The sequence below is a fragment of the Homo sapiens genome, chromosome 17 (assembly GCF_000001405.40).
Source record: "Homo sapiens chromosome 17, GRCh38.p14 Primary Assembly".
Classification (NCBI taxonomy): Eukaryota; Metazoa; Chordata; class Mammalia; order Primates; family Hominidae; genus Homo; species Homo sapiens.
This window is the reverse complement of record NC_000017.11, coordinates 47,897,018-47,914,645: the sequence shown is the minus strand read 5'-3', so window position 1 is coordinate 47,914,645 and position 17,628 is coordinate 47,897,018. Positions and strand designations below refer to the sequence as shown.

Below are 17,628 nucleotides of genomic sequence, written 5' to 3'. Positions count from 1 at the left end.
TGGCTCTCCATAGCTAAACTGGAACTCCTCTATGGTGGGCAGGGGGGAGCTCCCCAGCTAATCCTCTAGCTCAAACTCAAGCCTCCTGTTCACTCCTGCTGTAGACAGATGCCAAAACTGGGAGGGAAGTATCGCTCAGCCAAGATTTCTGACAAGGAGGACACACCTGCTCCACTGCCAAGTCTTGGGTGTTTTATGCTCAGCCTTCACCACAAAGGCCGTTGTCCCCAGGCAGCATATACAGCACATGGGTCAATTCTTTTTTTTTTTTTTTGAGAAGGAGTTTCACTCTTGTTGCCCAGGCTGGAGTGCAATGGCACGATCCTGGCTCATTGCAACCTCCACCTCCCAGGTTCAAGTGATTCTCCTGTCTCAGCCTCCTGAGTAGCTAGGATTACAGGCATGTACCACCATGCCCAGCTAATTTTTGTATTTTTAGTAGAGACAGGGTTTCACCATGTTGGTCAGGCTGTTCTCAAACTCCTGACCTCAGGTGATCCACCTGCCTCAGTCTCCCAAAGTGTTGGGATTACAGGCGTGAGCCACCATCCCTGGCCTCATGGGTCAATTCTTTACTTGAATTTACGCTTTTACATAGTACAATAGGCACGGCCCCACAGGCATCAACCAAGACTCAGTAGAGCTAATGACTAACTGGATATAACAAGGAGAATGAAAACAGAGTAAATTCTATTTTTGTTTAAATGTGTATATATTTCTATATATGAATATAATCAAATAGGAAAAAGTCTTAAGCCATTATCTCCTAGCGGTTGAGTTTTGTTTGACTTAAACTTATTTTGCACCTTGGTTTTCTGTACTTTTTCATTTTCCCATGATAAATATATTCTACTGTACTTTTTTTCTTAAATAAAGAAAAATAAGGTTGAGGAAGTAATGAAGGGACTCTCTACTGTGCACTTAAGTCATCCAAAAGAGGCTAGGTACAGTAGCTCATGCATGTAATCCTAACACTTTGGGAAGCCGAGGTGGGAAGATCGCTTGAACCCAGGAGTTCAAGACCAGCCTAAGCAACACAGTTAGACCCCGTCCCTAATAAAAATTTTTTAAAAAGAAAGAAACACAGTATCAGGAAAACGAAAGTCATGAGAATTTTAGGAGAAAGAATCTATACCATCTTAAAGTGCATAAATCACTAAGGAAAAGAACACCAGGCAGAGTCAGACTTCAATCCTGGACCTCTGGAAAGCAGATTTCAGTAAGTACAGAAATAAGAGGGGTATTACTTTAAAGACTAAAAGAGACAAAAAGGCTCAGGATGCATTCTGCTTGGAAGGCTGAGATGGAAGGATCACTTGAGGCCAGGAATTTGAGGCTGCAGTGCCCTATTATCACACCTGTGAATAGCCAAAACACTCCTGCCTGGGCAACATAGCAAGACCCCATCTCTTAAAAAAAAAACAAACAAAAAGGCGCAGGGGTTGAGTCCTTGTAAGGAATTTGGCAAAAAGAGGATAGATATTGGGCTGGGTGTGGTGGTTCACGCCTGTAATCCTAGCACTTTGGGAGGCTGAGGCAGGCAGATTGCCTGAGCTCAGGAGTTAGAGACCAGCCTGGGCAACATGGTGAAACCCCATCTCTACTAAAAAGACAAAAAATTAGCAGGGCGTGGTGGCAGGTGCCCGTAATCCCAGCTACACAGGAGGCTGAGGCAGGAGAATCATTTGAACCCAGGAGGTGGAGGTTGCAGTGAGCTGAGATCGTACCACTGCACTCCAGCCTGGGCAAGAGTGAGACTGTGTCTCAAAAACAAACAAACAAACAAACAAACAAAAGGATACATATTGGGAAAGCAGAACCGTTCACATTTTGGCTGGCCTCAGGCTTCTCTGTTTGGAAGAACAATTCTTAAATGGGGAAAAGTAAAGAAAAGGTGAAGGCACGGGATGCAGTGACTCGTGCCTATAATTCCAACACTTCGGGAAGGTGAAGTGGGAGGATTGCTTGAGGCCAGGAATTTGAGACCAGCCTGGGCAACATAGGGAGACCCCATCTGTACAAAAAATTTAAAAATTAGCTGGACATGGTGGCACATGCCTATGGTCCCAGTTACTTGGAAGGCTGAGGTGGGAGGATCGCTTGAACCTGAGAGGTCAAGGCTACAGTGAGTCGTGATCACACCACTGCACTCCAGCCTGGGTGATGGAGCAAGATCCCATCTCCATAAAAAAAAAAAAAAAAAGGTGAAGTGGAAACTGAAGCCCTGGATAGGTGATGAGCTGGTAAGAAAGCACACCAGTGCCTTAAATGGTTACCAGGCCTGAAGTCCACACAAACTATACTCCAGAGGAGGGGAGACTTTGCAGACACACCTGCAAATGTGTATGGAGCTGGAGGGCAGCTCTGGGCAAAATTATATATGCAGATCCCGTAATATTACAGGCACTGATTCTTGGCAAAATCCTAGGACAAATGATTGAATAGTACTGTTAACTACTGAGGAAAGGAAGGAGTGACCACAAGGAATAGCATTATAATATAGAAGAACAGGTCATGCTGAACAAATCTGTTTCTTTTTTGTAGGGTTTTGGATGGATACATCAAGAGCATGGTATACACCAGGTATTTTATTTCAACAGGCATCTGGCTGACATTTTCATAATATTCTTGTGAACAAACAAGGAGGAAACTTGGGCAATATGATAGTCTAGTTTGTCTGGGGCTAAGCTGAGCATGCCTCCACCTAAGTGCTGAGAAGTCTGCTGCTGCAAAGTGTCTCGAACTGGGGTGGGTCTCAGGACCAGGGTTCACAGGCATCTCCGCAGAGGCCTTTTTATTCTTTTCTTGTGTGTTTTCACTGTGATTTTTTTTTTTTTTTTTGAGACGGAGTCTCGCTCTGTCGCCCAGGTTGGAGTGCGGTGACACGATCTCTGCTCACTGCAAGCTCCGCCTCCCGGGTTCACGCCATTCTCCTGCCTCAGCCTCCCAAGTAGTGGGACTACAGATGCCCGCCACCACGCCCGGCTAATTTTTTGTATTTTTAGTAAGAGAGGGGGTTTCATGTTAGCCAGAATGGTCTCGAGCTCCTGACCTCGTGATCCGCCTGCCTTGGCCTCCCAAAGTGCTGGGATTACAGGCGTGAGCCACTGTGCCCGGCCAATCTTTTTTTTTTTTTTTTGAGATGTAGTCTCACTCTGTTGCCCAGGCTGGGGTGCATGATCTTGGTTCACTGCAACCTCTGCCTCCCAAGTAGCTGGGATTACAGGCACCCACCACTACATCCGGCTAATTTTTTTTGTATTTTTAGTAGAGACGGGGTTTTGCCTTGTTAACCAGGCTGGTCTCAAACTCCTGACCTCAAGTGATCCACCCACCTTGGCCTCCCAAAGCGCTGGGATTACAGGCATGAATCACCATGACCAGCCAAAACAAAGATTTATTTGTTTGTTTATTTATTTAGAAACAAGGTCTTGCTCTATCACCCTGGCTGGAGAGCAGTGGCGTGATCTCGGCTCACCGCAACCTCTGCCTCCTGGGCTCATGTGATCCTCCCACCTCAGCCCCCCAAGTAGCTGGGACCACTGGTGCACACCACCACACCCGGCTAATTTTTATGTATTTTCTAGAGACGGGGTTTCGCCATGTTACCCTGCCTTTTCTCGAACTCCTGGGCTCAAGCAATCCCATTGCTTCCACCTCCAAAAGTGCTGGGATTACAGGCATGAACCACCACACCCAGCCCAATCATCTTTTTAAAAATGAACATATACCATAGATCACCAGGTAACTGCTGCATAACCAAGTCCTGCACATTTCAGGGCCTGTGTGTGTGTTTACAAGTGCACTGTGTGGGCTAATTAGGACAACTTCATTCTGCACATTTAGTTCACGATACATCTGTGCAAAGTGAAAGATGACATAACTTTAGAAGCAGTGGAAAGACTGTATTACTCTGACTGACACGCTACAGGATGGGTGTGCAGAACTCAAGGAGCCTAAGTGTCAAGTCTGTGCCATGCTTACAAGGAAAAGCAATGATTTGGGTTCAGTCAAACATCACCCTCTCAGAATGATGCTGATAATTTGAATTTTACTGGCTTTTTTTGTAGTTACATGTGTGAACTTTATAGGAGCTAGATCAATGAGCTGACACACAGATTCATGTTCATATAAAATTAAGTTGTAATATTATAATGAAAATAATCTAAGCCAACCCAAACCATTTTTCCTTTAGAGTGGTAGTGTTCAAACTATCAGACCACGAACCACAGTTACAGAAACAATTTGCATCAAGACCCACCATATGCATACATACACCACACATTTCTGTCCCATGCTCATGCAATGAAAGTTTCCTGAAACAAAACTCCCTTATTACATGTGACGGACCGTGATATTTTTCTATTCTGTTTTGTTTTTTTAAATGCTGGCTGTGACCCACTAAATTGGTTTTGTGCCCTACAGGCTGGAAAACTTAGGCTTTAGAATGGTATTCACCACCCAAGTTTGGCAAAGATCTAGACGACAAGTAAAACTTGCAGATGTTGGCCAGGCGTGGTGGCTCACGCCTGTAATCCCAGCACTTTGGGAGGTTGAGGCAGGTGTATCAGGAGTTCATACCAGCCTGGCCAACATGGTGAAATCCTGTCTCTACTAAAAATACAAAAAAATTAGCCGGGTGTGGTGGCGCATGCCTGTACTCCCAGCTACTTGGGAGGCTGAAGCAGGAGAATTGTTTGAACTTTGGAGGCAGAGCTTGCAGTGAGCCGAGATGGTGCCACTGCACTCCAGCCTGGGTAACAGAGCAAGACTCGGTATCAAAAAACAAACAAAAAAACCTTGCAGATGTCACAAAAGTGAGAAGGATTGGAAACACAATGGGTATTAGTATTAGAGTTCAAGGACATCTTAAAAAACTGGTAGGTACAATGTTTAAGAACATCAGGCTCCATACCTAAATGAGATTCTGACTGTGTGGTTCATTAGTGGGATGGTCCCTCTTAGCCTCCTCCTAGTGCCCTCTGTAAAACAAAGGTAATGTCATCCTTCTAGGATTTCTGTGAGGCTCTAATAATTTATATCACTGCATCGAGGGTTTAAAGGCATATATGGCTTTAAAGTTTAATAAGTCCTGGCCAGGTGCAGTGGCTCAAGCCTGTAATCCCAGCACTTTGGAAGGGCAATGTGAGCAGATCACTTGAGCTCAGGTGTTTGAGCCCAGCCTGGGCAACATGGTGAAACCTTGTCTGTATATTAAAAAAAATAAGTCCTCCACTTAGGTTAAAAAACCAATCACATGCATATAGGGCAGAAAGAGCCTAATAGTGCCATGTGGAAAAGCCCCAGAGGTTTTGACTTTAAGCTGAATGGGGGCCAGCACAATCTAGATATGGCTGCCAAAAAGGCTACTGCAATTTTGGATTGCATTTCTAAAAGTTCAGTCATAGAACAAAAAAATAATATCCTCCTGTAGTTTACACACTTGGGCCACATCTGGAGCATCAGGTTCTGTTCTGAGGGACATTTTAAAAGGGGGATTTTCAGCTGGAGCTTGTTCAGAAGACAGCAGCAATGGTTGTGGTCAGGGTGCCAGAGTGGGGACATGGGTTCAAAGGGTAGAACCAAGACTCCTGTGTGGACATTTTGAGGCAGATTTTAGTTAACACAAGAGAGAACTTTGAAAAGATGAAAATCAGTTGCCTTCTGAGGTACTATGTTCTCCCTTCTCTGGAATCACTTAACCAGAGGCAGGACATGTGTCCCTGCTGGAGTCAGGATGTTGAGATGGGGTGGGAAGTTGGACCAAATGATCTTTAAGATTTTTATTCATGGCCGGGCGCGGTGGATCACACCTATAATCCCAGCACTTTGGGAGGCCGAGGCGGGCAGATCACTTGAGCTCAGGAATTCGAGACCAGCCTGGCCAACATGGGGAAACCCCATCTCTACTAAAACTACAAAAATTAGCTGGGTGTGGTGGTGCGCACCTGTAATCCCAACTACTCAGGAGGCTGAGGCAGGAGAATCGCTTGAACCCGGGAGGCGGATTTTGCAATGAGCCAAGATCGTGCCACTGTACTCCAGCCTGGGCGACAAGAGCAAGACTCCATCTCAAAAAAAAAAGATTTTTATTCACTGGAAGAAAGTGCAGTGATTTAAAATAAGTTAAAAAAAAGATTTTTATACTTCTCAGACCATGTTGCTGATAAAAATACAAGATGAGTTTGTTGCTGGCAGAACTGCAAAGGAAGGCAATGGCTCTCCCAGGAGGCTCCCCCAGGGCTCAGGTTTGCTTAGCTAAAATTAGTGAATGACTCTCTTAGACATCCTCTATTATAAAACAAGAGACATAGGATCCGCGCAGAGTGTAAATGAAATGAGACGAAATAAAAACTGGCCTAGCGTTTCTTCATCATCTCCCTCTCTGCAGTCCTTATTACCCTGGACTCAAACTGTTTGGACACTGGGCTGGGTTCTGAGTGACTCTTCAGTTAGGAGGTTAAAGCAGAATCTACTGAAGCAAGCTGCAGACTGCTAGTGCTGGACGTTGCACCATTTCAGCTTGGTTTCATTTTCCTCCCCAGCTGGTTCCTGAAATACTCCTATAGATCTCAAACCAATGTTTGCAAGTATCTTTCCTAGCGTCACTCAGAGCTTTATGGCCACAGGCTGCAGACCTGGGCAACCAAAAGAGAGACCGATCTCCCTGCCACTACAGAATTAACCACGAAAAGGAAAAGAGAGGCATTTCCCACTGATGTTTGGAAATGAAAAGTGGTTAAGAAGAGGTAGCATAGATACCTAACTGTAAGACTATGATCAAAGGCACTTTAGAACCTCATTAATTTGGAACTTTATATTTAAAATATACAATTTGGACATAAATTATGCTTAACTTTTCTTTCATACTATTTAAAGCGAGCCTAAATGGTGTTCGAAGATTGCAAAGGGACCCTTAGTCAGAATAATTGTTTTATACCACTTCCGCCATTTTAATAGTGCCACTTGGTTTTAACAGTAGTTTACATCCGGTCACTGAAACCAACACTTAACAACATAGGTAAGTGGGATTAGTGCATATTCTTGAAAGAAAAAGCTGCATTGCTTTCAAAGTTATATCATTCAGACTTTTCATTAAGTTAGGTTGGCTAAAACTTTCCCAACAGTCCCCAAGCTGGTGAAGTTTTACAATTATTTACTATACAAGCAATAGTACCTCTCTTAGGTTCCATGGAAAACTCCAGGGGCATCAAACAAAGTTTGAAGGCAGCATGGCATAGGGATGGGGTTGCAGGTGCCCGATGGGACCACACACAACATTCCTTTCCCATATTGGAAACCAATTTAATTCCAAAACCAGCAGAAAAGCATCCCCTGAGTTTCTAGACTCTTGATGTACTACTGATCATCCGCCTCTACCTCCTGTCCCCTCCAGCACAGCCTTCTCTTCCTACCCCTTTGGCCAAACTTGGTAGAAAAACTGCTGGCACCCTGCCGTCCCCTCCCTCCTTCCCTACTCACTCATTTCCCGGCAGCATTAGGACATCCACCCTGGCACTGCGCTCATGCTGCACCTGCCCAGGTCACCAGCGACCTCCTTGCTGCTCAATCCAATAGCCCCTCTGACCAGTGCCTCTTCCTCAAAATTCCCATGGATTTTCTCCCACCTCTCCTGCCACCTCTTCCCCTTGTGGGCTCCTCTTCCTTTGCCACCCTTAAATACTGATGTTCCCCAACATCTGTCCTTTCTCCTCACCCAGCACCCTTTCCCTGGGTGACCATGCCTACTCGCACGGCTTTACATACCTTCCACAGGCTGCCAACTCATAGGCCTGTGTCTGGCCCAGATCTCTGCTCCACGTGTTAGACCTGTACATCCAGCCCTCTGTGGGTCTTCCATTAGGGCTGGCCACAGACACCTGGGGCACTGAGCGACAGCTTTGCCCATTCTTTGTCCAGCCTTCTCACCCTCAGCCACCACAGGCCTTCTTCCAGATCCTTGAAAAACTTCAGTGTCTGCAGCTGTCTTTCCTTGCTTACAGCTCTTTCTGTTCTCTTCACTAGCTAAGACCTCACCCTTCAGGTCTCTGGCTGTTTGACTTTCCCAGCATAATTTAAGAGCCATTATGTAACAGGCATGCCATTTCCTCAGAGAGGCCTTTCTGGACCCCTGAGATGAGGCTAACTCCTTTGGGAACACTCACCACTCATTAACTAATCATGAGCCCAATGTATGCGAGGGCTCCCCAGGGTGGGCCATGTCTGTTTACACCACTGAACTGCAGACACCAAGGCCTGGCACATGGCTCACGGACACCTTCAGTGCCTATGGGCTGTATGAATATCCTGGGTTAAAGCAGCCTCTCTTCTGGTATCTCCAATCAGGACAAAACCTGAGTATCCCCCTCACTGCCAACCAATCATCAAGTCCTCATGATTCCACCTCATAGACAAATCTCCCTATAGTGTACCCAGGCTCCCCATCCTCATCACCATGATCCACCTGAGATACTGCCTACGGCCTCTAAAACTGCTTCCTGGCCTCTGGCCTCCCCCTTAGTCAGCCTCCACAATTTGGTTAGAAGGCTCTTTTTAAAGTGCAAATCCCATCCAGCTACTCTCCTAATTAACCCCCTCAATTGTTCCCTGATGCTCTTGTGATAAACTTATAAAGGCCAGAACAACCTGTCCCTCCCTGGTCCTCCCTCCTGACCTCTTTCCCTTCCAACTCTCCCAACACACACTTCAGTTTTTCATTTCTGGAATTAAAACACGCCACCCTGTCTCACTTGGAGCCTGAAGCACACTCTCTCCCATTTGCCCGGCCAGCTCCTGTCCTTTAGAGCTCATTTATACTCTCACTCAGCGAAAGCCTTTCCTGACCTCCTCCCACCTCAAATCTGGGGCAGGTGACCCTGCTACCTGCCAGTGCATACTCCAGGCACCCTTCGGCACTGTCCCATCAACACAGAGCTGGGAGTGTGTCCCTGTCCCACGGTCTTTCTAGGCCTGACTTGGGGAGAGCACGTAACAGGAAGAGAGACCTCTGAGCCCTGGCCACCAGGCTGCAGGCTGTTCGACTGTTCCTTTCACTGAGAATGCTACTCTTGAGACCCAGCAAATGAGAAAACGCGCCTACAGAAATACCACAACAGTAGGCTTTAGGAAGCTTTTTCTTCTGGAGAGAACTAGGCTCCATCTCCACAACCCAGGCCTTGGGGGTAACTCGGCTTTTTTTGCCTGTGGGTTCCTGCCATCGTGGGTCTGGCTTTCTTGGCTTTTTGCTATGGTATTTCCCCTGGAGGAATTTCACACTGTGCAAACAGTCTTTCTCTTGGCTATTTTGGTCAGCTCAGCTGGGCCGTAAGCCAACAAAGCAGTTTCTAAGCCCAGGCTTTTCCAGTTGCCTAGCCTGGAAGAATTCAGAGCTGGTGAGGGAAAAGCATGCCCTGGCTGGTTTTAGAGAACAAAGTTGGACCTCAAAGAAAGCTCACAAATGGGGTATGAGAATCCATTTGGATGAAGAAAGCAGCAACCTTGGTAGTGAAAGACTCCAAATTGTGCTGAATATTTCAATGAGAGGCAAACCTCAGCAATCATAATAACTATTATAAGGTGGGCACGGTGGCTCATGCCTGTAATACCAGCACTTTGGGAGGCCGAGACAGGAGGATCACTTGAGGCCAGGGGTTCAAGACTAGCCTGGGCAATACAGCAAGATGCCATCTCTACAAAAAATGTTTACAAACTAGCTGGGTGTGGTGGTGTGTGCCTGCAGTCCCAGCTCCTTAGGAGGCCAAGGCGAGAGGATTGCTTGAGTCCAGGAAGTCGAGGCTGCAGTGAGCCATGATTGCACCACTGTGCTCTGGCCTGAATGACAGAGTGAGACCCTGTCTTTAAAAAATAATAATAAAAATTTTAAATAAACAAATAAATTAAAACCATGGTAAAAGAGCCCATTAACAGTAAAACAAATTTCAATGGCTTTCATTTCAATGAGAACAACTCTGGGCCGTGGCTTGCTAATGCCACAGGCCGAAGTAAGCAAGAAGGTGAGTAAGGAATGGAGATCTTGTCTCCACATTAACCCTTTACTGAGCCTCCCATCTCCCCCCACTCCGCCATCTCAGACCCCCAGCCTCAGGCAATGACCCTTAGGTATGTCTACAATTTCATCAAGAAGTTAAAATTTCCCTCATCAGCTAAGATCCATTATGTCTCCCCTTCTCTTCAAGCAAAACTCCTTGCAGGAGTTACCTATACTTACTGTCCTTAATTTCTCTCCCGCTAGCTTTTCTTAAACCTGCTCCAACCAGGCTGCACCCTCCTCATGCATGCCACGAAAACTGTTCACACCACCAGACACCTCCATGTTGCTAAAAACCTAATGGCTACTTCTACTTCTTTTTTTTTTTTTTTTTTGGGACAGAGTCTCACTGTCACCCAGGCTGGAGTGCAGTGCCACAATCTCAGCTCACTGCAAGCTCCGCCTCCCGGGTTCACGCCATTCTCCTACCTCAGCCTCCCGAGTAGCTGGGACTACAGGTGCCCGCCACCACACCTGGCTAATTTATTTTTGTATTTTTAGTAGAGACAGGGTTTCACTGTGTTAGCCAGGATGGTCTCGATCTCCTGACCTCGTGATCCGCCAGTCTCAGCCTCCCAAAGTGCTAGGATTACAGGCATGAGCCACTGCACCTGGCCTACTTCTTTTTTTTTTTTGAGACAAAGTCTCGCTCTGTTGCCAGGCTGGAGTGCAGTGGCACAATCTCAGCTCACTGCAACCTCCGTCTCCCGGGTTCAAGTGATTCCCCTGCCTTAGCCTCCTGAGTAGCTGGGAATACAGGCGTGTGCCACCACGCCCGACTGATTTTTTGTATTTTAGTAGAGACAGACAGGGTTTCACCATGTTGGCCAGGATGGTCTCAATCTCCTGACTTCGTGATCCGACCACCTCGGCCTCCCAAAGTGCTGGGATTACAGGCGTGAGCCACCGCGCCGGCCATGGCTACTTCTTAAACCACGTCATCCGTGTTGCTCTGACAGTTGATTGCTCTTCCTTTTGGTCTTGGCTCGCTGCAACCTCCGCCCCCCGGTTCAAGTGATTCTGCTGCCTCAGCCTCCCAGGTAGCTGGGATTACACGGGCCTGACACCACGCCCGGCTAATTTTTTGTATTTTTAATAGAGTTGGGGTTTCACCATGTTCGCCAGGCTGGTCTCGAACTCCTAACCTCAAGTGATCTGCCCGCCTCGGCCTCCCAAAGTGCTGGGATTACAGGCGTGAGCCACCGCGCCTGGCCTCTTCTTCCTTGAAACACTTTCTTTACTTGGCCTCTAGGACACACTTGCTAGTCTCTGGCTAACTTCTCCCATATCTCCTTTGCTGGTTCTTCCTCTCCTCTCAAATTCTAAATGATTGGGTTGCCCCAGGACTCTGTCTCAGGACCTTTCTTCTGTCTACACCTGTTTCCTAGCTGATTTTGTCTAGTCTCGTGGGTTTAGAAACCAGTAAGATACAGATTCTATATAATTTTAACTCTCACATTTCTATCTCGACTGGTATATCCAACTGCCTACTGATAGCTCCACTTGGATGTATTAATAGGCATCGTAAATCTAACTAGCCCCAGCTGGGCGCTGTGGCTCACGCCTGTAATCCCAGCACTTTGGGCGGCCGAGGCAGGTGGATCACCTGAGGTCAGGAGTTGGAGACCAGCCTGGCCAACATGGCGAAACCTCGTCTCTACTAAAAATACAAAAATTAGCCGGGCGTGGTGGTGCCCGCCTGTAATCCCAGCTCCTTGGGAGGCTGAGGAAGGAGAATCGCTTGAACCCGGGAGGTGGAGGTTGCAGTGAGCCAAGATTGTGCCACTGCACTCCAGCCTGCGTGACAGGAGCAAAACAACATCTCAAAAAACAAAACAAAACAAAACAAAAATCTAACTAGCCCCAAACAGTGCTCCCGATATTGTCCTAATCCTGTGACTCCTTCAAAATTCGCCACTGCAGTGAATGAATAGTAACTTCATCTTTCCAGCTCCTCAGCCTTAAAACCTTGGGAGTTATCCTTATCTTTTTTCCACACCCTACACTTGACAGCAAACACTCTATCTTCAAAATATATGCCCAATCTGACTGCTTCTACCACCTCCTCTGTCATCACCTAGGTCCAGGTTTCTATCATGTCTCCCACGGATTAACCTCCTAGCTGTGCTTCTGACCTTGACCCCATCAGTCTATTCTCAACACATCCAGAGTAAGACCCATCACACTTAAATGAAACCATGTTATTTCTCTGCTCAGAGGCCCCCAATACCATCCCATCTCCCACTCAAAGTAAAAGCCAAAATCTCCATTGTGACACAAAAGGCCCCTGTGTGACCTAACCTCTTTCACCTGCCCTGTCACTCTCCCTCTCTCACTGCTTTAGCCATGCTGGCTCCCTGCTGTTCCTGAACATACCAAGTATGGCCCCTGCTGAGGGTCTTTGCATTGCTCTTCTCTCTGCTGAGTTCTCACCCTCCTCCCCTCACCCCAGATAGAAAAAGGCTCAATCTCCTCCCCACTCCTTCAGGGTTTTACTCGGATGTCACCTTATCATTGAGACCTTCCCTGATCACCCTATGTAAATTGCCACCCCCCTTTTTTTACCTTATCCTCATTTTGCCTCCTTAGCACTTCTCACTGTCTAACAAATATCTATTAGTTATTAATTGTCTCCCACTAAGATGTAAGCTTCCTAAAGGCAGGGACTTCTCTGCCTTACTCACTGATGTATCCCAGTCCCTGGCACATGGTAGGTGCTTAATAATCTATATTTGTTGAATAAGTGAATGAATAAATCCTGGAGGCTTTAGAGCAGGAGGGCCTAAAGCGAGTTTAGGAACCAAAGGAGAAAAGCTGCAGATTTGCATATCCTGGCACTAGGTCAGGATCCACTCCACAGCTGGGTTTAGCTGACCCAGACCCTGGTGGAACCCTCAACCCCACCAGTCACCTCACATGTGGGCCAGTGCAGTCCAGTCCTGCTCCTGGCCAAAAACTTCAAAGCGCACGCCTCTCATCACCACACACCAGGTACTACTGCATTTCAATGCTTCTCTCAACTGATATGCATTATTAATGCTTCTCTCCATTGACATGCATTGGCAGAGCCGGGATAGCACCACTGCACTCCAGCCTGGTGACAGAGCGAGACTCTGTCTCAAAAAAAACCAAAACAAAAAACAAAAAAAACAAAGCCAGGCACGGTGGCTCACGCCTGTAATCCTAGCACTTTGGGAGGCTGAGGCGGATGGATCACGAGGTCAAGAGTTGGAGACCATCCTGGCCAACACAGTGAAACCCCGTCTCTTCTAAAAATACAAAATTAGCTGGGTGTGGTGGCACGTGCCTGTAGTCCCAGCTACTCTGGAGGCTGAGACAGGAGAATCGCTTGAACCCGGGAGGCAGAGGTTGCAGTGAGCCAAGATTGCGCCATTGCACTTCAGCCTGGTGACAGAGCGAGACTCCGTCTCAAGAAAAAAAAAAAAAAGATAACGAAGGCACTTGAATTTGAATACCGCCTATCTGTCTCCACCCTTAATTCTTCTTTCCAAAACGTGACTGTCATTTGCTAGTTTGCATCCTGACTGCGTCACATCCCATTGTACTGGAAGGGACTCTGGAAGTGTGTGGGGGTGGGGGCAGCATAGGGTGAAGAGAACCTGATCAAAGCAGGCCCAAGAAACAGCATCAAGTTTTTTTGTCAAAGAATACTGGGCCTCAGAATTTTAGAGAACAGGAGAAAAAAAAGAAGCAAGATATACTTTTTCCCCTAAAGAATCTCTTTATGTGCTTTGGCACATTTATTTGTGAGTCACTCCCCACATTTATCCTGGGCCATGATCAGTGTTTTGTTTTTGTTTGAGATGGAGTCTTGCTCTGTTACCCAGGCTGGGGTGCAGTGGTGCGCTCTCGGCTCACTGCAATCTCCGCCTCCTGGGTTCAAGTGATTCCCGTGCCTCAGCCTCTGCAGTAGCTGGGACTACAGGCGTGTGCCACCACACATGGCTAATTTTTGTATTTTTAGTAGAGATGGGGTTTTGCCATGTTAGCCAGGCTGGTCTCGAACTCCTGACCTTAAGTGATCTGCCTGCCTCAGCCTCCCAAAGTGCTGGGATTACAGGCGTGATCACCCAGCCCGGCCCCAGGCCAGAATCAGCTTCTGAAATGAGTGGTGATTTCATTTCCCCTGAGAAGACAGGGCTGGCTTACCATTTACTTTTTTGGAGGCTGGGAAATGTCTTGGTCTGTTTTCTTCTAGGCTGATCTAAGAAGATTCCTAATTATCAATTGAGAGCAGAGATATTCCACTTCCAATTACATGGCCTGCCTGCTCACTCTTACTTCCTATTCACACTCTCTTGGAGACCACTTTGTGATTCTACCAAATTCTATAGGAGAGGTGACAACCCCAAAGAGAAGGCTCTAGAAAGATGACATTTGGAAATGTGTACGCTAGTGTCTGCTGGCTCCTCCTGAGCCATTTTTACTCTGTGAATGAGATCAAAGGCCACCTAACTGCCTAAATCACCACAAAGGGACAAACTGGTATCTCAGAGCACTCAGCAACAAAAACAAGAAAGCTAAGCCTCTGCACTGCAATGTGGCAGGGCTTCTGGCTAAGTATAGCAAGCAATTCTGATGTGGAGACAAACAGCAGCAATGGGAATGATATGCCAATGAAGGATTCCAACAGTTGGGTCTGCAAGTGTGCTTGTCCTGTGACACAAACGGCCTAGACATCTCAGCACTGCTTGGAGCTGCTCATTGGGGGAGCCTAAGAAACATCAGCCCTTTCACAACCTCTTGCTCCTGAGCAGAGCTCATCTCCCAAGAGCACATCAGCCCGCAGCCCAGTCTGATGAGAAGCACAGTATTCCCCTGTGCCAGTGGCAGCCTCAGAGCATCCTGAAAGAGCGCTTCCTAGACACGCAGTGGAAGCCATGACTTCCCCTAAGCTGCCGGTGCTGCCTCTGAACTCATGTGGAGGTTCTTTTTTCAGTGTCCCCAGAGGCAGCAGAAAAATCCGTTTTCCATTTTGGAATCTATCAAGTAGGACAAATCTGCCACCTGGGAGCATCTCCTCAAGGGCAATCTCTGCTCCCTTTCCTACATGGCCTGACAATACCCTCGAGTTAGAAATGTCCCATGTTGGCTAGGCACAGTGGCTCATGCCTGTAATCCCAGCACTTTGGGAGGCTGAGGTGGGAGGATTGCTTGAGGCCAGGAGTTTTGAGACCAGCCTGACATAGAGAGACTATGCCTCTATTATTTTAAAAAAAGAAATGTCACATATTTTTACCCTCTTCACTCATCTTTCCACCTTGCTCCAATAGATTGCTGACAGAAAAGTGAGACCTCCTCCACCCCAAGGTCTCCTAAGAGAATGCTGCTAGCCAAAAAAAGATCTGCTGATAATTGAGGAAGAGCATCTTTAAAAAGACACTCAACTACATTTCAGAAACATAAAGATCTAAGTGTTGGCTCTACAAGGGAAGAAATAAAGAGAAAGAACTTTTTTTCCTCCTACAACAGGTCTAGACAACGTCATACAAGGAGTTGCACGCATATCCAAAACAAAAGCAAGGCAAAAACAAGCAAAAAAGCAACAAATGCATTCCAAAATGATGTCCATTTATCAGCCCAGAAATGTACTGGATACTGGTTTAGTTCAGCCTGTAGGTGCTGGGAAGAAATTCCGACAAATCCAAGTCAGTTGCAAAAAGGGAAAACTCCAGACATATCACCCAATGAACTTGTAAGAAAGCATATGAGCTTCCCTGAACAGATTTTACTCCAGGTTTGCAGCCCGCAAGATTTAAGATGGGGCCATGAGGTTAAATCTTGTAAACTCAGAAGTGTTCACGCTACTGCATCCCTAAACTCTGTAACTCTCTACATACTCTTTAAAGCAGTGTTTCTCTGCATCTTTCATTCCATAGCCATTGTCCACCTGATCCAAAATATCCTAAGTTTTTCAGTGTTTGGAAGCAGGGTTTCCAATTTTTGTGTATACAGAAAAGGGGGGTGTGTGTGAAAAAATAAGTATTAGAAAAAAAACATGTTATACATATCTATCACAGAAATGAGTGGGCAAGGTTTAGAAGATGGCTGAAACCAAGCCAATACTAAGGTCTACTGGTTGGCTGCAACAAGTTTAAAATGTCTTCATAAGGGCCCTGGTTGGGCAATACTATACTTGCTGACAGTACTTGGGATCTGCCACAGACCTATAGCAAAGGACTGTTCAACTTCTCCAAAAAGCTGGTATTAACCACCAGAAGAAATAAGAAGTTCAAGGCCAAAATATCCAAATGAACCAACCACTCTACTTGCTGAAATGCCATAAAGCTTCTTTACCCCAGACATTTGCCCAAATCTTATAATTTCTTTTCTCCTCTCTGACAGGCCTCTCCAGAGGCCCAAACTTTAATAGAATCTGAGAGAAAAAAGTGGCCAGTCTATCTGCTGTCCAGAGTGATGCCAAACTCTTTCTCCCGGAGCCAGTTCTCCCCGTTGGGCAGTCAGGTGAGGATCCGATTATTAACAAACTCTACTTGGGTCTCCTTGGCAAAGAGTTTCTGGCTTCAGCAGCCTAGCTCAGGGGGGTTCATAATTATGTCAGACTCGCTTTTTTTCTTGTAGTTGCTTTTAACCAAAGAGGTTAAGCCTCTGTACAACCAAGAGGAAGAACTAGAATTAGAAAACTTACCAATCGTCCCAGCCAATGATAATCCATTTCCAACAGGTATTAACGCCTGTTAGAAGCCACTGGAACACTGACATCATCAGCCCAATTGATAGGTTGTCTGATAGATTCGCCCCCTTCATCGCACACAAGAATTTAAAACAAAACAAGACACTGCAGTTATATTCATTATTGCAGACAATGGGTTTCTTTGTGTTAGTAATTGAAATTACTGCTGTGGTCTGGACTCCACCATTATTTCCTTTGCAGCCTGTGAGCCAGCCAACACTCTAAACTTTCTAGCCCTAAAAATTGTATCATCCAGAATACCAACTCAATACAGCCCTCCACTGTGAAACTGAATGCCTTCTGGGGTACAGCATGAAACCGTTTTAGACAGTGCATGCCAGTGCACCTTGAAACAGTGTCCATCTGTAATGAAATCTGTAAACGGGAAACTTGGGCCAATTCATTGTTTAAAGCAGATCTACTGGCTCATACCTTTCTCTAGGAAACAATAAGTGAACAAGAAGTAACCTCAGAAGAAGAAAGAACTTTGGGAGAATGCACTGAGAAAGGCCAGACTGAGTCCCCTTGGATGAAGTTAATTAAGAAACAAACATGACAGGATATTGCAATCAAAACCAAGGAATGCAGTGAGGACAGGTTTCTCAGTTGCCCAGAGGAGAAAACATAGTTCCTTCTGAACTAAAATTAGAAAGCCGCTGGCAAGGAAACATAAGAAGCATGGATAAGAGGCTGAAAACCGTAAGTCAGCAATGGGGATGGAGGTGGGTACAGGAAGAGAGCGAGTATCTATTTTGTTTTATTTCTTCTGTAATTCCTTAAGATTGTTTGCGCCTGAGCTTTGGGACTGCAGTAGTCTCCCCTACGGGGCGTCAAGTAACAGGCTGGGAGCTCTGGCAAGAAGTTC

At 46.3% G+C, this 17,628-nt stretch overlaps 1 protein-coding gene and 1 long non-coding RNA gene across 21 annotated transcripts in view, besides 4 other annotated features; one reads left to right on the top strand and one right to left on the bottom strand.

Annotated features, from left to right (window-relative positions):
* The window catches only part of SP2-AS1 (SP2 antisense RNA 1), a 43,019-nt gene extending 26,759 nt beyond the window's left edge, over positions 1-16,260 (top strand). The window contains exon 3 of one of the 2 annotated variants that reach the window (NR_103857.1): positions 15,343-16,260. This is a non-coding gene — a long non-coding RNA (SP2 antisense RNA 1). Of the gene's footprint in view, positions 1-14,267 lie in introns of both variants that reach the window. The other variant, NR_103856.1, reaches the window with a different exon arrangement.
* Positions 1-17,628, bottom strand: part of SP2 (Sp2 transcription factor) — a 35,496-nt gene that overhangs the window by 17,086 nt on the left and 782 nt on the right. For 4 of the 19 annotated variants that reach the window (XM_047436573.1, XM_047436571.1, XM_047436570.1 and 1 more), the window contains 2 exons: positions 16,719-16,831; positions 4,916-4,982 (listed from right to left, as the gene is read on the bottom strand). The exons of 8 other annotated variants lie outside the window; for them this stretch is intronic. Coding sequence is in view for 4 of the 11 variants with exons in the window: in XM_011525136.3 (XP_011523438.1) it covers positions 7,768-8,086 (319 nt within the window). In the remaining 7 variants the exon portion in view is untranslated. Of the gene's footprint in view, positions 1-4,915; positions 4,983-7,767; positions 9,611-16,718; positions 16,832-17,628 lie in introns of those variants that run through there. 7 more of the 19 variants (XM_011525136.3, XM_011525137.3, XM_011525138.3 and 4 more) reach the window with 4 other exon arrangements.
* Positions 10,361-10,554: a silencer, noted in NCBI's record as "fragment chr17:45981458-45981651 (GRCh37/hg19 assembly coordinates)". NCBI's record gives its function as "represses an EF-1alpha promoter that drives an FKBP-Casp9 reporter gene in an ReSE screen in K562 erythroleukemia cells {active_cell/tissue: K562}" and the evidence as "EXISTENCE:reporter gene assay evidence [ECO:0000049][PMID:32094911]".
* Positions 12,042-12,545: an enhancer, noted in NCBI's record as "NANOG-H3K27ac-H3K4me1 hESC enhancer chr17:45979467-45979970 (GRCh37/hg19 assembly coordinates)". NCBI's record gives its function as "activates a minimal SCP1, AML or CMV promoter by ChIP-STARR-seq in naive H9 embryonic stem cells {active_cell/tissue: H9 hESC(naive)}" and the evidence as "EXISTENCE:reporter gene assay evidence [ECO:0000049][PMID:30033119]".
* Positions 13,050-13,553: an enhancer, noted in NCBI's record as "NANOG-H3K27ac-H3K4me1 hESC enhancer chr17:45978459-45978962 (GRCh37/hg19 assembly coordinates)". NCBI's record gives its function as "activates a minimal SCP1, AML or CMV promoter by ChIP-STARR-seq in naive H9 embryonic stem cells {active_cell/tissue: H9 hESC(naive)}" and the evidence as "EXISTENCE:reporter gene assay evidence [ECO:0000049][PMID:30033119]".
* Positions 14,058-14,562: an enhancer, noted in NCBI's record as "H3K27ac hESC enhancer chr17:45977450-45977954 (GRCh37/hg19 assembly coordinates)". NCBI's record gives its function as "activates a minimal SCP1, AML or CMV promoter by ChIP-STARR-seq in naive H9 embryonic stem cells {active_cell/tissue: H9 hESC(naive)}" and the evidence as "EXISTENCE:reporter gene assay evidence [ECO:0000049][PMID:30033119]".